Below are 19,743 nucleotides of genomic sequence, written 5' to 3'. Positions count from 1 at the left end.
ACCATGCCCAGCTAATTTTTTTGTATTTTTAGTAGAGACAGGGTTTCACTGTGTTGTCGATCTCCTGACCTGCCCACCTCGGCCTCCCAAAGTGCTAGGATTATAAGTGTGAGCCACTGCGCCCGGCCCAGAGCCCGAACTCTTAACCACTGCTATTGTGGGGAGTGATAGGAAATGAGGCTTACTGCATAAATAAATATAGCACTTGCATTCCTCTATGTCCAACCCTATGAGGCAGGTATATTTATTTTCCCTATTTTACAGATGAGGAAACTTAGTCTAAGAGAGGTGAAGTCATTTGCCTAAAGCCACATGATTAGAAAGTGTCAGAGCAGAGATACGATACCCATCTACCTGCACTTCATCCACTACAGCTGCACTTCTTACCTTGATTGTCTTATAAGGAATTTTCCCTTTACTCTGAGCTCCTGCAGGCATCCTGCATGAGAGAAGGCTAGCTGCAGGAATGGTGAGACGTTTTATTTTTCCATGGAGGAAGCTTTAGTTTGACGTAGGGGGATAGGATTGCCATGGGATCTAGCCTGTGGAACGTAACCCCTAACCAAGTGTTGGGGGCAAGTTGCTAGGACGTGGAGCTGGAAGTTTGTTACATGCAATTGTGAGGATTCCTTCCGAGCAACCCAAATCCAGTTCACTGCCTGATCTAGGCAGAGGCATGAGGGAGTTGTTAATAGCATGACATTTTCCTCAACATTTTAAGGTTTAAATTTTTTTTCCTGTCAATAAGGCTAACAGGGTAATCTGCACTGGCAGCTGCATCCTTCCTGTTTGTCCTCCTGAAGCAGTTCCAGCTGACCAGCCACTGGGAACCTGCTGCTTAAGCAGCTGGTAATGAACTGCAAAACAGAACAAGAAGAACCAGGCAGGCAGGGGTCAGCACCCTCCCGGGACAGTAAACTGGCCTTGCAGAGAGGAGCCAAGGAAGAATAACACAGGAGTACAGCTGATGTATGCATATCTAGCTATTCTCTGCTCTGGGCTTATTTCACTTTTGCAAAAAATAGTAAATGCTTGTAAACAAGCTATACAGAAGAATATTAAATAAAAAGTGAAACTTCCCCTCCCAGACACCCCACCCACGAGGTATAGCCATGGTTAATTTAATCATTTGTTTATCTTTTTGTACCTTCTCTGTGTAAATCTTGGTATAAATGTGAGCTTAATTTTTTGTTTTTTATTATCTAATACAAAGTGGGATTTATATGTTGATGTTCAGTTTGATAACTAGCTCTTTAAATTTCTTTTTTTTTTTTGAAGATAGGGTCTCACTCTGTCACCTAGGCTGGAGTGCAGTGGCATGATCATAGTTCATTGCAGCCTCGACCTCCAGAGCTCAAGCGATTCTCTCACCTCAGCTTCCCAAGTAGCTGGGGCTACAGGCCTGAGACTGCAGGCACATCCCACTACACCTGGATAATTTTTTTTTTGTTTTTAATTTTTAGTAAAGTCTTGCTATTTTTTTAATAGAGTTTTGTTGGTCTTGCTGTGTTGCCCAGGTGGTCTTGAACTTCTGGCTTTAAGTGATCCTCCCATCTCAGCCTCCCAAAGTGCTAGAATTACAGGCATAAGCCACATCACCCAGCCCCGCTTCAAAATTTTTAGCAATTTACACTTCCAACAATAGTGTATAAACCTAGCCAACAGTGACTCGTTTTTTAGTTAAAAACAAATCAAAACATGCTAGTATGTCAATTGAACAAATATTTCTCTCACTCCCTTTCCTTCTGTCCTTTCCTCTGTTTTCTATTACATTTCCAACCTCTGACCCGTGCTTATTACACAGAATTCCAGAAATTTGTCAGTAGGTGAGAAACAGGGGAGGGAGAGTTTATGGCTAATCAACAAAGATACACAAAGGTGCAATATTACTCTGTAAAAGGTGATAGCAGCTTTTACATATATATTTACAAGACTTCATAGGTACAGCTCATTAGCTGGCAAATAAAAATGTACAAGCAAGACACCTTGCTAGGTGTGGGATCTCATTTGATCCTTAGATAATAGTGCAATTAGGAAAAGCACGCATTATCTCCCCATTTTACATATGATTAAAAAGAAATTCAACAAATGTGCCTGTAAGGTCACAGTGCTAGTCAAATATGGAACTCTGAGTCAATATTCTCTTCCCTACATTATATTCACCATTTTTATATGTGTGTAAAATATAAGTGTGTATATAAACTCTAAAGTGCACAATATGTAATCCGTAAGCACATTTGTCACACCCTTTTTTATACCTGTGGCTATATACTAAATGTAATCTGGGTGTGTGCAATACAGTATATATAAAACATGGAAGATGGTGCAGGAGGCACTAAGAGGTAGTTAAAAAAAAAAAAACCCACCTAAATGTGACCTGGCAGGCCCTGACAAATACACAGGTGGGTCAGGGACTAAAGAGCTCTGGGAAATTGTTGAATTCTAAATGAGATCTCTTCTAGTCATGGTTCTGGAACAAACAATTTATAACAGGGGTTAAGTGCATGGAGTTTTGAAGTCAGGTACATATGGGTTCAAGTTCTGTCTTAGCCACATACTAGATACGTGATCTTGGACAACTAAGTTAAGTTGGACAACTAAGTTAAGAAATAGGCTGGGCGCAATGGCTCAGGCCTGTAATCCCAGCACTTTGGGAGGCCGAGGCAGTCGGATCACGAGGTCAGGAGTTCGAGACCAGCCTGGTTAACATGGTGAAACCCCGTCTCTACTAAAAGTACGAAAATTAGCTGGGCGTGGTGGTGCACACCTGTAATCCCAGCTACTCAGGAGGCTGAGGCAGGAGAATCACTTGAACAGAGGAGTCGGAGGTTGCCATGGCTGAGATTGCACCACTGCACTCCAGCCTGGGTGACAAAGTGAGACTCCGTCTCAAAAAAAATAATAATAATGATAATATTCTGTGTTTCACAAGATGAAATGAGACAATGTATGTAAAACATCTTGCAATGTGCTTGAAACATAATTCTCAATAAGAGTTATTATTATTTGTATTACATGTTTGACTTTATCATTCTTGTTTAGTTTCAACATAGTTCAGCTGTATGTAAAACTAAGCATATGACTGCAGAAGTGGCAATCATGAAAGATTAATGCAATGGTTCTCAGCTCTGTCTGCTCATTAGAATCACCTGGCGAGCTCAAAACAAAATGCTTATATCTAGGCCAGTGAAGTCAGAATCTCTGAAGGCATTGAGAATCAATGGATTAAACAGAGGCTTTGAGTGTGAAGTTTTCAGGGGTACTAAAGATCAGTAAGATTATGTGAAAATCAAGGCTTTTAGTGAGTCCTCTGAATTTTCATTATGACTGTAGAGGATGGTTGTTGGTTGATCCCTTTCCACTTTCCCAGGAGTCCTGTTTTACATTTGGACATTTTGAGTCCTGGAAAAGTTGATTCTTTCCCTGATTTCAGGGGTCAAGGAAGAAATCCCTAAAGGCAAAGGTAATATTGCATTTTATCCACCGCTATTGTGATTGGTGCATATGGCCAAAGCTTTGTAATCAGGGTGATTCTCAGGACTGTTGGAAACACTGGGACAAAAATGCTGTCTTTCTTGCTGAGCATAAAGAGAAGGCAGGTAGGTAGCCCATCTTGGGATTGCAAAGGAGGTCAGCTTTAGTATAAAGACAGCAGAGAAGAAAGAAAGACATTGTTTTGGGGCTACATCAAGCCTCATCTAAAGCCAGCTGCCTCTGGACTTTCCAGCATAATGAAGTGCAAATTCCTTATTCAAGTTTATTTTTCTGTTAGTTGAAACTGAAAGCATCCAAATAGAATAATAACCTTCCTTATATAGGTTGTAAGAACAATGAAGAGGGAAGCATGCCTGGTGTTTCTATTTTACAAGAAAATAGCAAATATTTTGCTGGAGCCTCTTCCTGCCCCTTCTAAAACCAGTAGCCCAAGCAAACAAAGCAAAAGCAAATAAACAATAAACAGAGCAGTAACTCCTCTTCTTTCAAAGTCATAACCAGTTTGAGCTCAGGGTCTCTTTGGACTTGTGGTGAAAGTCTCAGGTTCTCCATGTTAAGCTGATAAGGTGGAGTCACACCAGCATCCTCACCACAGCTCTGACCCTGTCATTCTGTTCATACACTTTCCACGGCTCCTGAACAGCCATCAAGGCCTCTCATAATTTGGCTCCGTCCTCACCTCCCACTGTAACACCCTATTCTCTCTTCACGTGATTTGCTTTTCTCCAAAATATGAAATGCTTTCGTGTTTCATTCTCCTGTGCCCTTTGTACATACAGTTCCCTTTGCCTGCTATATCCTTTCCCCCTTCTCTATGTGGCAATCTCACCTATCCTGCAACGTCCAGCTCAAATGCCACTTTCTCTGCTTTCCCCAAGCAGGGCTAGGGGGACTTTCTTGGTCCTTTCTTTTTTCTTTTTTCAGACGGAGTCTCACTCTGTTGCCCAGGCTGAAGTGCATTAGCGTGATCATGGCTCACTGCAGCCTTGACCTCCCCGGGCTCACAGGATGCTCCCACCTCAGCCTCCCGAGTAGCTGGGACTACAGGTGCACACCACCACGCCCGGCTAATTTTTTCTTTTCTTTTTTTTCTTTTTTTTTTTTTGTAGGGACAGGGTTTCTGTATGTTGCCCAGGCTGGTCTCAAACTCCTGGGTTTAAGCGATCCATCCACCTTGGCCTCCCAAAGTGCTAGGATTATAGGTGTGAGCCACCACACCTGGCCTCCTTGGTCCTCTTACGGTACTTTGTACACACCTTGTGGTAGGGTCAATGTGTTTTGGTACCCATCTCCCCACCAGTCCATGAATGCCTCAACAGCAGGGCCTCTATCTTTTTCATTTCAGTACCCTAGAGAGGCAGTATAAAGTGGTGGTTAAGTAAACTGGTTCTGGAAGAGCCTAGAATAAAATCCCAACTCTATCACTCATTAACTCTGTAACTTAAGGTAAAATACTTCTCTTTGACTCAATTTCATCATCTGTAAAATGAAGATTAAAAATAATAGCTGGCTGGGCACGGTGATTCACGCCTGTAATCCCAGCACTTTGGGAGGCCAAGGCAGGCAGATCACCTGAGGTCGGGAGTTCCAGATCAGCCTGACCAACGGGGAGAAACCCTGTCTCTATTAAAAATACAAAATTAGCCGGGCGTGGTGGCGCATGACTGTAATCCCAGCAACTCAGGAGGCTGAGGCAGGAGAATCGCTTGAACCTGGGAGGTGAAGGTTGCGGTGAGCCGAGATCGTGCCATTGCACTCCAGCCTGGGCAACAAGAGCGAAACTCCATCTCAATAATAATAGTAATAGTGTACATGACTGTTAGAATTAAACAAACAATATACTCCATGTAAAGACATCTAACTGAGTGCCTTGTACAGGTTAACTATGGTGATGATGATAATGATGATTACAGTGACAATTACTACGAAGACAACCATTCGTTTCCATTCTAGTGCCTTGCATGTTCTAAGCGAAGTACATGTTGAAGATGAACAAAAACCAGATTTGTTTTTTCTTTTTTTTTTTTTTTTGAGACGGAGTTCGCTCTGTCGCCCAGGCTGGAGTGCAGTGGTGTGATCTCGGCTCACTGCAAGCTCCGCCTCCTGGGTTCACGCCATTCTCCTGCCTCAACCTCCCGAGTAGCTGGGACTACAGGCGCCCGCCACCACACCCGGCTAATTTTTTGTATTTTTAGTAGAGACGGGGTTTCACCGTGTTAGCCAGGATGGTCTCGATCTCCTGACCTCGTGATCCGCCCGCCTCGGCCTCCCAAAGTGCTGGGATTACAGGCGTGAGCCACCTCACCCGTCCCCTTTTTTCTTTTTTGGGACGGAGTCTCACTCGGTTGCCCAGGCTGGAGTGCAGTGGCGCCATCCCGGCTCACTGCAGCCTTCGCCTCCTGGATTCAAGCAATTATCCTGCCTCAGCCTCTTGAGTAGCTGGGATTACAGGCATGCGCCATCATGCCTGACTAATTTTTGTATTTTAGTAGAGACAGGGTTTCCCCATGTTGGCCAGGATGATCTCAAACTCCTGACCTCAAGCGATCTGCCCGCCTTGGCCTCCCAAAGTGCTGGGTCACAGGCATGAGCCATCCCACGAAGCCTATCATTTTTTCCTTTTATTTTATTTTTTTTTGAGATGGAGCCTTGCTCTGTTGCCCAGGCTGGAGTGTGATGGCGTGATCGCCGCTCACTGCGACCTCTGCCTTCTGGGTTCAAGTGATTCTCCTGCTTCAGCCTCCTGAGTAGCTGGGACTACAGGCGTACACACCACCATGCCCAGCTAATTGTATTTTTAGTAGAGACAGGGTTTCACCATATTGGCTAGGCTGGTCTCGAACCCCTGACCTCGTGATCCGACCGCCTTTGCCTCCCAAAGTCTTGAGATTACAGGCATGAGCCACCATGCCCGGCCCTCATTTTTTTTTTTTTTTTTTTTTTGACAGAGTCTCGCTCCCTCACCCAGGCTGGAGTGCAATGGTGCGATCTCGGTTCACTGCAACCTCCACCCCCTGGGTCCAAGCAATTCTCCTGCCTCAGCCTCCCAAGTAGCTGGGATTACAGGCACCCACCACCATGACCAACTAATTTTTTGTATTTGTTTAGTAGAGACGGGGTTTTGCTATGTTGGCCAGGCTGGTCTCGAACTCCTGACCTCAGGTGATCCACCCACCTTGGCCTCCCAAAGTCCTGAGATTACAGGCGTGAGCCACTGCACTCGGCCGCCTGGCCCTCATTTTTTATAACAGATTTAAACAGCACAAAAAAGGAAAATTAAGTCATCCCTTACCACAGTCCTAACTTCAAAGGGTACTGCTTAGAATTTCCTGTATTTCCTTTCACACATTTTCTTTTTCTTTAATTTCAGCTTTATTGAAGTATAACTGACGTAACATAAACTGCATATATTTTAAGTGTACAACTTGGTGAGTTTCAACATATGCATATACTCGTGAAACCATAACCACAGTCAAGATTAAAAATGCACTATCCACCGGGTGCGGTGGCTCATGCCTGTAATCCCAGCACTTTGGGAGGCGGAGGAGGGCAGATCACGAGGTCAGGAGTTTGAGACCAGCCTGGCCAATATGGTGAAACCCCGTCTCTACTAAAAATACAAAAATTAGCCGGACGTGGTGTCAGGTCCCTGTAATCCCAGCTACTCTGGAGGCTGAGGCAGAAGAATCACTTGAACCAGGGAGGCAGAGGTTGCAGTGAGCTGAGATCGCACCATTGCACTCCAGCCTGGGCAACAAGAGCAAGACTCTGTCTCAAAAAAAAAAAAAAAAATGCACCATCCATCACCCATCATTCCTCATGCTCCTCTGTAATCCATCCCTCACTCCCCCACCCACCAACCCTGTTTGCAGACAACCACTGATCTGCCTTGTCACTATAGATTAGTTTATACATTAAACTCTTATATAAATAAAATAGTACAGCATGTACTCTTTTTTCTTGGCTTCTTCCACACAGTATAAGGTTTCTGAGATCTGTCTACATTGTTATGTGTATCAATAGTTGATTCCTTTTCATACTTTTGTATTTCCATGGTATGGATGTACCTTAATTTGTCTACCCATGCATTATTGATGGACATTTGAGTCATTTCCAGTTGTTTATGACAAATAAAACTGTTCTGAATGTTTATGTACAAGTCTGTGTACACATACAAACCAATCTGATTTGAATAACTGTTAAAACAACAATAGCAACAGCTGTGAGTGACTGAGGAGAGGACCTGGGTAGAGTGGTAGTGGCAACATGGGAGCTGTTTCCTTTTCAATGTGTGAGTAGCAAACATTTTAATAAAGTTGTAAACATCCAGTTATCCAAATGTTTACAAATAGGAATTATTGCTGAGCGTGATGGCTCACGCCTGTAATCCCAGCTCTTAGGGAGGTAGAGGCGGGAGGGTAGCTTGAGCCCAGGAATTCGAGACCTGCCTGGGCAATATAGCGAGACCCTGTTCTCCACAAAAAGGAAAAAAAAAAAGAGACAAATAGGAATTACTGAGTTTATTGCAAACTTAGATTTCACCAATCCAAGTGCCCATCTAGTATAGGCCCAATGGGTATGTCACCACTTCTGGAAGGAATCTGGAGAGGCCACCAGCCATATTTTCCTTGCAAACTTAGAAACATTGGAAATAGCTGGGCGCGGTAGCTCACGCCTGTAATCCCAACACTTTGGGAGGCCGAGGCAGGTGGATCACCTGAGGTCGGGAGTTCGAGATCAGCCTGACCAACATGGAGAAACCCCATCTCTACTAAAAATACAAAAAAATTAGCTGGGCGTGGTGGCACATGCCTGTAATTCCAGCTACTAGGGAGGCTGAGGCAGGAGAATCACTTGAACCTGGGAGGTGGAGGTTGTGAGCTGAGATTGCGCCATTGCACTCCAGCCTGGGCAACAAGAGTGAAATTCTGTCTCAAAAAAAAAAAAAAGAAAAGAAAAAGAAACACTGGAAATAAACTCCCTGAGGACAGGAACTTAGGTCACTGCTCTATCCCAGTACCTAGTGACCTGACACATGTACACACAAATTATTCTTTTCTAAGCAGTTCATTCCCTTTTTGGACAGTTCCAACGATTATAAACTTACATGGAGCAGATAAGTGATCTATCTTTTTGCCCTAATTATGCCCTCAGGAACCATATTTTCTAAATAAGACTTTAAAAATATTTTAAAATAGCTCCACTCCCTTTACTTCTCTAAGTTAAACAGACCCAGAGTCTTTAACCGTTTGTTAAAGCACCGTTTAACTTAGGAAAGTACTGACCAGGTCTTCTTTCTTCTGAAAGGCAGTGTGCTTAGTGACTAAGCATATGGGTGGAAAAGTCTGCCAGATCTGTGTTCAAATCCTGAGTATTGTGGTATGGTTTGTGGCAAATTCTTAATTTTATTATGCCTTAGTTTCTTCGTTTGTGGAGTGAGGATAGTAATAGCTGCCATACAAGATTGTTGCTAGAGTTAAATGAGAACATTTTTGTTGTTGTTGTTGTTGTTGTTTATTGAGACGGAGTCTCGCTTTGTCACCAGGTTTGAGTGCAGTGGTGTGATCTCGGCTCACTGCAACCTTCGCTTCCCGGGTTCAAGCGATTCTCCTGCCTCAGCCTCCCGAGTAGCTGGGACTACAGCATGCACCACCATGCCCAGCTAATTTTTGTATTTTTAGTAGAGACGGGGTTTCACCATGTTGGCCAGGATGGTCTTGATCTCCTGATTTTGTGATCCGCCTGCCTCGGCCTCCCAAAGTGCTGGGATTATGGGCCTGAGACACCGCATCCGGCCTGAGAAAATGTATTTAAAGCCTCCTGCACAGTGTTCTTAGCATTAAATATCTCCCAGGTTTTTTTCATTTGTATAAATTTAAGAAATACAGTTTAAGGAGTGTGGTTTTGTTACATGGTTATATTTTGTAGTGGTGAAGCCTGGGCTTTTTTTTTTTTTTTTTTTTTTGGACAGAGTTTTGCTCTTGTTGCCCAGGCTGGAGTGCAATGGCGCGATCTCGGCTCACCGCAACCTCTGCTTCCCAGGTTCAAGCGATTCTCCTGCCTCAGCCTCCTGAGTAGCTGGGATTACAGGCATGTGCCACCAAGCCCAGGTAATTTTGTATTTTTAGTAGAGATGGGGCTTCTCCATGTTAGTCAGGCTGGTCTTGAACTCCCAGTCTCAAGTGATCTGCCTGCCTTGGCCTCCCAAAGTGCTGGGATTACAGGGGTGAGCCACTGCGCCCGGCCAAAGTCTGGGCTTTTAGTGTATCTGTCACCTGAATAATGTGTACATTGTACCCATTAAGTAATTTCTCAACCCTCAACCCCTCCCACCATTCTGAAGCTCCGTCATTCCACACTCTATGTATAGGTGTACACATTATTTAGCTCCCACTTGTAAGTGAGAATATGTGTTATTTGACTTTCTGTGTGTGAGTTGTTTTACTTAAGATAATGGCCTCCAGCTCCATCCACATTGCTGCAAAAGACATGATTTCATTTGTTTTTATGGCTGAATAGTATCCCGTTGAGTATATATACCACATTTTCTTTATCCAATTATGGTTGATGGATACTTAGGTTGATTCCATATGTTTGATATTGTGAATAGTGCTGAGATAATCATATGAGTGCAGGTGTCCTTTTGATATAATGATTTATGTTCCCTTGGGTAGGTACCCAGTAGCGGGATTACTGGATAGAATGGTAGTTATTTTTAGTTTTTTGAGAAATCTCCATACTGTTTTCCATAGAGGTTGTAGTAATTTACATTCTCACCAATGGTTTTTAACCTATTGGATTACTGACATTTAAATAAATAATAGCATGTTAATATCCAGTGAGGCTTCAGAATATTAACTGAGTATTCATAGGCAAATTACTCACCCTCTGTGCCTCATTTTCTTCATCTATGAAAATGGAATAATGACAGTACCAACTTCATAAGATTATGACAATTAAATAAGTTCATGTATGTAAAATACATAGAACAGTATGGTACATGCAAATGTTACATAATTACTTGTTTTATTAGTTATTAGCCAAAGGTATTGGTGTGTATATCAGACCCTGGAGAGGGAGGAGGTTTACAGTGGAGAGACAGAAACACTGCAAAAGTGCATCTGACCATCATTTCTTTCCCAACTCCTCCTTGCTAATTCCATTTTCGGGCACCTCTTCCTTTTCCCTTGGCCTCCCCAGAAACTCAATTCCCCTCAATTTTGTTACACAAGCAACTGACTTCTCTACCCCCTATTCAACCCCAGGCCTTCTTTGCAGAGCTAGCTTTGTGACTGTGCCCTGCTATCCTGTGAGCATTTTCCCCAGATCCAACCCCTCAGGACCACTTCGAGCTCTCTTTTCCTTTTGCCTCCCCCAATAGCTTCTGGGAAGAGCAGGGAATAAGATAGAGATTTATTTCCCCACCAAACAGAATTTTGTCATCTCTCTTAGAAGAAGAAGAAGCAACAATCAATTCTTACGTTAAATGGCAATTTTAATTATTTTGACTCATAAACATTTTAAAAACATATTTTAACCACAGTTAAAAATACATATTTTAAACATATTTAAACATATCCTCCATATTATGAAATTTCAGTGGTGCGTTACCTAGGTCTTGATGTTTTAATGAGTGAAGTCTGTGAAAATGAGGTTCTAAATGCTAATCAGGGTTTCCTAATTCTGAGAAAGAAGTCAGGAAGGATGTCGTTAGCTCATCTGACCACAAATGTAACACTGATTCTGCCTAGGAGAGGAAGAAAATAAAGCAAAACGTGAGCAGTGCTGCTTTCTCAGCCTCAATTAACACGAGAACACCATCTCCTCCACTCTCTCCCAAGGACCTGACAAGACAGGCAGAAGCCCTTGTTCTTGAACAATTCAGAGGGTTGGTAGGAAGGTCTCCAGGGAGATACTGGACCTCCTGCCACTAACTGCAGTTGGGCTCTCAAGTGATTAATGGAAAAATAAAAGATGAGACTATATTTATATCCCAAACTGTGGAGTATGCCATACCAGTGACACCTGATTATACGGCTAAGTGTTCCAAAATTCATCAGCCTGAGACTACAGAATCAGGTTACATTTTCTCTTTTTTTTTTTTTTTTTTTTTGGGACAGAGTCTTGTTCTGTCTCCCAGTCTGGATGGAGTGCAGTGGCGCCATCTTGGCTCACTGCAACCTCTGCCTCCTGGGTTCAAGCCATTCTCTTGCCTCAGCCTCCCAAGTAGCTGGGATTACAGGCATGAGCCACCACGTCAGGCTAATTTTTATGTTTTTTTTTTTTTTTTAGTAGAGACAGGGTTTCACTGTGTTGGCCAGGCTGGTCTCGAACTCCTGACCTCAAGCGATCCACCCACCTAGGCCTCCCAAAGTGTTGGGATTACAGGCGTGAGTCACTGTCCCCAGCCACATTTTCTTTTCTTTTTTTTTGAGACGGAGTCTTGCTCTGTCACCCAGGCTGGAGTGCAGTGGTGCAATCTTGACTCACTGCAACCTCTGCCTCCCAGGTTCAAGCAATTCTCCTGCCTCAGCCTCCCAGGTAGCTGGGACTACAGGCGCGTGCCACCACGCCCAGCTAATTTTTTGTATTTTTAGTAGAGATGAGGTTTCACCGTATTAGCCAGGATGGTCTCGATCTCCTGACTTCGTGACCACCCGCCTTGGCATCCCAAAGTGCCTGCATTAAAGGCATGAGCCACCATGCCCGGCCGACATTTTCTTTAATATACAAATTTCAATGATTCCAATCGTCTTCTCTGGAATATGACAAGCTAATTCTTTTTTTTTTTTTTTTTGAGTCAAAGTCTCGCTCTGTCACACAGGCTGGAGTGCAATGGCGCAATCTTGGCTCACTACAACCTCTGCCTCCCAGGTTCAAGCGATTCTCCTGCTTCAGCCTCCTGAGTGGCTGGGATTACAGGCACACACCACCACACTCGACTAATTTTTTGTATTTTTAGTAGAGACGGGCTTTTGCCATGTTGCCCAGGCGGGTCTCAAACTCCTGAGCTCAGGCAATCAACCCGCCTGGGCCTCCCAAAGTGCTAGGATTATAGGTGTGAGCCACCGCGCCCGGCCTGAGAGGCTAATTCTTATTATTAGACTTCCCTTTACTTAATTGTTTGTTTGTTTGTGGCAGGAATACTGGGAGAAAGTCAATATGACCCTGGCATTTGCAGGTGTCCTCCCCAAGTACATTTGCCACCCTTGCTGTGCTCCATAGCTCTCAGGTCACCTGATGCCATCTAGGGACTGACTTCTCCCTGACTGCTGTTGCTTTCTCCCCGAGATGTGGTTCCCCAAGCCTGGACACAGGCTCTACCCTTTACTCCCCAAAGAATACCTAAAACCAACAAGTAGGTGCCAGGAAAAAAAAGCCTGACAGAAGTTTTGAGGATCACAGAAGGGAATGACACTAAAATTGAGGAAAATCTAAACACAAGGGGATGTCCCATTGCTCTTTGAATCTGTTAGCCCACACCCTCCCTAGGGTACCTTCTACCAGGGCTGGCTTCATGGGCCTGTGACCTATGCCATCACACAGGTCCCCAGTCTTAGAAGGGGCTTCATGCTTAGTGTTCTGCTGTCATCATCTTGAAATTCTTAATAATTTTTGAATAAAAGATATCCTGAATTTTCATTCTACACTTAGCCCTGCAAATTATGTAAGTGATTCATGCCTTCTAGTAACCATTCTTCTCTTTAACCCCCTACCTGCCTGTATGTGCAGAGACCAGTCCCACATCTTGCCAACAAAAGCGCCCATGATTATAGTCAACTCAGGCACACTATTGCTCCAGAGATGCAAAAAACCTTGCTCACGATGAAGACTTAGGAGTGACGAAATTGTCCTTCAAGTACCATAACCACAAGGTAGTGATACGAACAGATAACCAGCATATATTTGGGGTAATATTGGCAAAATTATCCAAATGTGGTAGATTCAGATATTTGGTCCCATGTAGACCAAAAACGAAGCAAATAAAATTTTATTTAAAGATGTTTGTTTTGGTTAAAGGGCTTGGCCTCACTTAGATGGACTCACCCTATACATGAGGGTGCTTGGGGGAGAGGCTAGAGTGTTTCATGACACAAAAACATTCTATTTGTTTTATTATTATTATTATTATTATTATTTGAGATGGAGTCTCGCACTGTCGAGCCCAGGCTGGAGTGCAGTGGTGGGATCTCGGCTCACTGCAACCTCCACCTCCTGGGTTCAAGCGATTCTCCTGCCTCAGCCTCCCGAGTAGATGGGATTACAGGCACCCGCCCCCACGTCCGGCAAATTTTTTGTATTTTTAGTAGAGACTGGGTTTCACTATGTTGGTCAGGCTGGTCTCGAACTCCTGACCTCAGGTAGTCCACCTGCCTCGGCCTTCCAAAGTGCTGGGATTACAGGCATGAGCCATCGTGCTGAGCTGACACGAAAACATTCTGAAGAATTTGGCTATGGCACTGATCTCCAGCCCACCTGCACTCTCATCTCCACCCCCAATTCTCCACCTCCTACACCCCTCCCCCTACTCCACCTCAGCCCCTTAGGGCGATTTAAGTAATTTTCCAGACCTGACTCTGAAGTTATCTTCCCAGCAGGAGTCGCAAGGGTGAGTGGTAGAGGGGTGAAGACCTTCAGTGACCAGCTATAGTCTGAGCTGGGAAGGGACAAAGGCAAGAAGAAGGAGGAAATGGGTCACTGCCCATGGCTGGCAGAGCAACTGCTGTGCCTGAGCTTTTATTCTGTGAACAAATCTTTGCTCTCTTCACCAGTGACCCACATGAACTGTCATTCCCAACTGCAATAAAGTGGGGCAAGGGCTGAGAAGGGCTGAGAAGGGCTGACTCCACAGCTGTGGAGTAAGAGTTCCCTGGCAGGAGAAGAAAGACTGAAAGACACAGGGCTTTCATGGAGGCAAAAGAAACAAAGAAAGTCTGAGACAAGGAGATTAAAAAACAAAAACAAAAAAACAAACAAAAACCTCTGAAAAGCCTAATTGCCCCTAAATGCCTCGACACCAAAACTTTGTCATTTTTTTCTTTTTTGTGGCTGTCTTCCCATTTTATTTTTAATTATTTTTTTTTTCCGAGACGGAGTTCCGCTCTTGTTGCCCAGGCTGGAGTACAATGGTGCGATCTTGGCTCACTGCAACCTCTGCCTCCCAGGTTCAGACGATTCTCCTGCCTCAGTCTCCCGAAAAGCTGGGATTACAGGCGTGCGCCACCATGCCTGGCTAATTTTTGCATTTTTAGGAGTGACGGGGTTTCACCATGTTGGTCAGGCTGGTCTGGAACTCCTGACCTCAGGTGATCCACCCGCCCGGGCCTCCCAAAGTGCTGGGATTACAAGCGTGAGCTACCACACCCAGCCTGTCTTCCCATTTTAAACACCCTTTATGTTCCAAGTGAGGTAAAGGTGAGGAATAAAAGGGAGAATGGTTGCAGAGCCTCATTAAGCTGGGAGCTAGGATCACAGGAGCTAGTGGAGATCTTGGGTGAATCCTACTGTTTCTTGAATGAGTCCTAGAAACGCCCGCTCATTTGGCTACTTCTTCCTTTCCTGCACACAGGAATTTAACAAGATTCTTCTACAGCCTGGTGACTTTGTGATCTCTTAGCCTTAGTCATGTCCTCTTTCCCTCCCACCCTAGCCCCAGAGACTCTTCCTCTTTTCCTTGGCAGTTCGAGTCCCAGAGTGTTATTTATCAGTCAGCAGCAGAGGGCGATCTGGCCCCGGAGAATGACCCGGTCAACTCGGGCCATATGCCTGGGTTGCTAATGACTTGCAGCTCCATCAACATAAAGCTGAATTCTTCACAAAGGAACACTGTCACTAAGCTTTTTCCTTTTCATTCTTGAAAGCTACACTGCCTTAGCTAACCCCTTCCCCCTCCCGCCTTCATTCCTGCTCTCTTTCCTCTCCCAACCTCTTGGAAGCAGCAGGAAATGAACAAGGTCCACAGTGGAGAAAAACAAATCCCAGGGCCCTGCTGAGGAAAACCACAGGAAAATGACCAAGTGGCATTAGCAGCTGCAGGAGTTTTAGGTAGCTGTGTGGTGTGCGTGTATGTGTATGTGTGTGTGAGAGAGAGAGAGAATCCCACATAGCAGTACTTTTCATAGTTTAGCATAACATAAAAATCACCTGGCGAGCTTGTTAAACCACAGCTTCCTGGGCCTTACCCAGGAATTCCCGGGGCCCAAGAATTTGCATTCTTAACACTCCTAAGGTATTTTAATGATGCCAGTGGAGGACTGACCACATTTTGAGCAGCACTGCTGTACACAAATGCAGTGAAATAGAATGTATAGATCTGAGCCAGGGGCTTGCTTGGATAACATCCTGATATGATGGCCTCCCCCAGAAGAGTCAGGCCAGATCCTTCCAATTCCAGGCCAGAAGATTTCATAGATCAGCCTACAGCTGTTCCCTCCCCTTGAAAAAGAAGCAGAGAATGTATCAACAAGAGCATTGTTTGGAGAGGGCTGAGCTCAGATAATAGGCTGGTTCTCCATTGACTGTTTCTTTCATCCCAACTGGCAGAAGAATCACAGAAGGCCCCTCCTTTCCCCTCCAGCAGAGATGGATGCTCTACCTACTTAAAAATCAAGAATTCTTCTGACCTTGGCTGTGTCCAACAACTCATGCCCAGAGGCTTCTGACCTGTCCCCTCCTTAGCACCCTCCAGATCTGAGAACCTCCAGAGTCACAAAGGCCTGTGGAAAGAGCTGGTTATCTTCAAGATACCCAGAGGCGCTTGGGCTGATTTAAAGGCACTACTCCCTTCTGTTTATGCAGCAGAAGATAACAAGACAGACAGAAGTGCTGCTATGGTCTGAATGTTGATGTCCCCACAAATTCATCTGTTGGAATTTAGTCCCTGATGTGATACCAATCAAGAGATGGGGACTTTAGGAATTGATTAGGTCAGAAGGCTACAGCCCCCATGAATGGGATTAGTGGCCTTATAAAAGAGGCTGGGGGGCCTGGCGTGGTGGCTCACGCCTGTAATCCCAGCACTTTGGGAGACTGAGGCAGGCAGATCACTTTGGGTCAGGAGTTCTAGACCAGCCTGGCAAACATGGTGAAACCACATCTCTACGAAAAATATTAAAAAATTAGCTGGGCGTGGTGGCGCATGCCTGTAGTCCCAGGTATTCAGGAGGCTGAGGCAAGAGAATCGCTTGAATACAGGAGGCGGAGGTTGCAGTGAGCTGAGATCGCGACACTGCACTCCAGCCTGGGCGTCAGAGCAAGACTCCGTCTCAAAAAACAGAGCTGGAGGGAGACTGTGAGACACATTTAGAAAGCATCATTTATGAGGAACCAGCCCTCTTTGGCAGCTTGATCTTGGGACTTCCCAGCCTCCATATATGGTACCAATCCTTCTTTAGTTTTAGTGTCCATATCACAGAAGGGCTCATGTTGTAAAAGAAGTCAAAAGCAGCCTTGAATAATCAGAACCCTTCTGCCAGATTGTCTAATGTCAATTTGTTTTCTAGAACTACTGCTTCTACATGTTCTTCCTCTTCATCTGGCTCTGGTTTGGAAGCACTTATCTCCATCAAGTCATCTTCTGTTAATTCCTCAGGTGTGGTGTCTATTAGCTTTTGAATTTATCCAAGATCTGTATCTTGAAACCCTTTATCTCCCACCTTTTTTGGGACATCCACAATCTCTTTCATGATTTCCTTGATTGCTTCTGTCATATATCCTGATAAGTCATGCACAACATCTGGACACAGTTTTCTCCAGCAGGAATTTATTGTTTTGGGCTTGATGGCTTTCATAGCTTTTTCTGTAACAATGATGATGTCTTCAATGGTGTAATGCTTCCAGACTGTCATGATGTTCCTATCAGGGTTATCTTCCATACTGTTGACAATCCTTTCCATAGAGTATCATGTGTAATGAGCCTTAAAGGTCCTTATGAACCCCCCATCTAGAGGCTGAATTAGAGACATATTTGGGGGCAAATAGACCACTTTGACACCTTTGGTGTTGAACTCATGAGGTTCTGGGTGGCCAGGGGCATTGTCCAATATCAAAAGAACTTTAAAACGCAGTCCCTTACTGGCAAGGTACTTGCTGACTTCAGGGACAAAGCATCAGTGGAACCAATCCAGAGAAAAGGATTCTCATTATCCAGGCCTTCTTGTTCCACAACTAAAAGACTGGCAGCTGGTATTTATCTTTTCCCTGCAAAGCTTGAGGGTTAGCAGCTTTACAGATAAGGGCAGTCTTAATCTAAACCTGACTGCATTTGTACAAACAGTAGAGTTAGCCTATCTCTTCCTGCCTTAAATCCTGGTGCTCGCTTCTCTTCCTTACTAATAAATGTCCTTTGGGTCATTTTTTTCCCCAGAATCAAGCACTTTCATCTGCATTAAAAACCTATTCAGGTAGATATCCCTTTTCCTCAATGATTTTCATAACGTCTGGAAAATCATCTGCTGCCTCTTAGTTGACAGAAGCTAATAATTCTCTTGTTATCTTGACATTTTTAAACCCAAACCTCTTTCTAAAATTACCAAACAATCATTTGCTAGCATTAAATTCTCTCGCTTTAGATTTCACCTTCTTTTTGCTTCAAGTTGTCATATAATGACTTTGCTTTTTCTGGAATCATATTAGACTATATACGTATGAATTTCTTATAGCAATACCGCACCAATATAAATATATTGCACCAAAATAAATATAAAATAAATGCAATATAAAAGTTGCATTTTCAATACAAGATATAAAGGTAGTTTGCAAAAAGTGCAAGGTTTTCATGACTGCTGGTATAGCTGCAGTGACAGTTTCACAAATTTCCTTTCCTTTTTTTTTTTTTTTAATGGTTCTTATGCTGGATTCATTTATCTCGAAATGGCAGACAAGTACAAGCTGCAGGCCTCAATCTGTGGAAATATCAAGCAATTCAACTTTTTGTTGTAATGATATAACTATTCTGTGCTTCTTGGGAGCACTTCCAGCATCACTAATGGCACTTCATATGGTCCCAAGGTGTTATTCAAGGTTTATGGTATTGCACTAAACATGATGAAAACTATGTGAGAACTGAGAGATCACTTTTTTTTTTTTTTGAGACAGTGTTTCACTCTTGTTGCCCAGGCTGGAGGGCAATGTTCACAATCTCAGCTCACTGCAACCTCCGCCTCCTGCGTTCAAGCAATTCTCCTGCCTCAGCCTCCCGAGTAGCCAGGTTCAAGCGATTCTCCTGCCTCAGCCTCCCAAGTAGCTGGGATTACAGGCGTGCACCACCATTCCCGGCTGATTGTTTTTTGTATCTTTAGTAGAGATGGGGTTTCACCATGTTGGCCAGGCTGGTCTTGAACTCCTGACCTCAATTGATCTACCCACCTCAGCCTCCCAAAGTGCTGGGATTATAGGTGTGAGCCACTGTGCCCAGCCTACTACAGTTAATTGTATGCAGTTATGATTTAATACTGCATCTCTATATTTGTTTGCATTTATTTCCACTGTGAATGGTGCAAGTGTTTGTAAGTGTACTTATGTGTAAGTTTTGATTTTTTTTTTTTTTTTTTTTTTTGAGACAGAGTCTTGCTCTGTTACCCAGGCTGGAGTGCAATGGCATGATCTCGGCTCACTGCAATCTCCGCCTTCCGGGTTCAAGCAATTCTCCTGCCTCAGCCTCCCAAGTAGCTGGGATTACAGGCATGTGCCACCACGCCCGACTAATTTTTTGTATTTTTAGTAGAGACAGGGTTTCACTATGTTGTCCAGGCTGGTCTCGAACTCCTGACCTCAGGTGATCCGCCTGGTGGCCTCCCAAAGTGCTGGGATTATAGGTGTGAGCCACCATGCCTGGCCTCTGATAAATTTTAACTTTTTATAATGGATTTATATATCTTTTATGGCAGTAAATAATAAAGTACACTAGTATCTACATATATTTTATGCATTTATGACACACTCAACTTTTTCTTTTTTTTTTTTTTTGAGATGGAGTCTCGCTCTGTCGCCCAGGCTGGAGTGCAGTGGCGCGATCTCGGCTCACTGCAAGCTCCGCCTCCCGGGTTCACGCCATTCTCCCACCTCAGCCTCCCAAGTAGCTGGGACTACAGGCACCCACCACCATGCCTGGCTAATTTTTTGTATTTTTCTTTTTTAGTAGAGATGGAGTTTCACCGTGTTAACCAGGATGGTCTCGCTCTCCTGACCTCATGATCCACCCTCCTTGGCCTTCCAAAGTGCTGGGATTACTGGCGTGAGCCACCGTGC

General features: G+C 44.1%; 1 long non-coding RNA gene across 1 annotated transcript in view, besides 4 other annotated features; it reads left to right on the top strand.

Annotated features, from left to right (window-relative positions):
• Positions 1-19,743, top strand: part of LRIG2-DT (LRIG2 divergent transcript) — a 61,416-nt gene that overhangs the window by 15,075 nt on the left and 26,598 nt on the right. The window contains exon 2 of the long non-coding RNA NR_103777.1: positions 9,467-9,605. This is a non-coding gene — a long non-coding RNA (LRIG2 divergent transcript). The remainder of the gene's footprint in view (positions 1-9,466; positions 9,606-19,743) is intronic.
• Positions 13,549-14,468: an enhancer, noted in NCBI's record as "NANOG-H3K27ac-H3K4me1 hESC enhancer chr1:113586182-113587101 (GRCh37/hg19 assembly coordinates)". NCBI's record gives its function as "activates a minimal SCP1, AML or CMV promoter by ChIP-STARR-seq in primed H9 embryonic stem cells {active_cell/tissue: H9 hESC(primed)}" and the evidence as "EXISTENCE:reporter gene assay evidence [ECO:0000049][PMID:30033119]".
• Positions 15,067-15,361: an enhancer, noted in NCBI's record as "tiled region #8666; K562 Activating DNase unmatched - State 5:Enh". NCBI's record gives its function as "activates a minimal TATA promoter and a strong SV40 promoter by Sharpr-MPRA in K562 cells {active_cell/tissue: K562}" and the evidence as "EXISTENCE:reporter gene assay evidence [ECO:0000049][PMID:27701403]".
• Positions 15,157-15,206: a silencer, noted in NCBI's record as "silent region_1208". NCBI's record gives its function as "represses an Ori minimal core promoter by ATAC-STARR-seq in GM12878 lymphoblastoid cells {active_cell/tissue: GM12878}" and the evidence as "EXISTENCE:reporter gene assay evidence [ECO:0000049][PMID:35858748]".
• Positions 15,390-16,309: an enhancer, noted in NCBI's record as "OCT4-NANOG-H3K27ac-H3K4me1 hESC enhancer chr1:113584341-113585260 (GRCh37/hg19 assembly coordinates)". NCBI's record gives its function as "activates a minimal SCP1, AML or CMV promoter by ChIP-STARR-seq in naive H9 embryonic stem cells {active_cell/tissue: H9 hESC(naive)}" and the evidence as "EXISTENCE:reporter gene assay evidence [ECO:0000049][PMID:30033119]".

Source organism: Homo sapiens, chromosome 1 (assembly GCF_000001405.40).
Source record: "Homo sapiens chromosome 1, GRCh38.p14 Primary Assembly".
Taxonomy (NCBI): domain Eukaryota; kingdom Metazoa; phylum Chordata; class Mammalia; order Primates; family Hominidae; genus Homo; species Homo sapiens.
The sequence above is the reverse complement of the archived record's forward strand: the minus strand, read 5'-3'. Positions and strand labels throughout refer to the sequence as shown.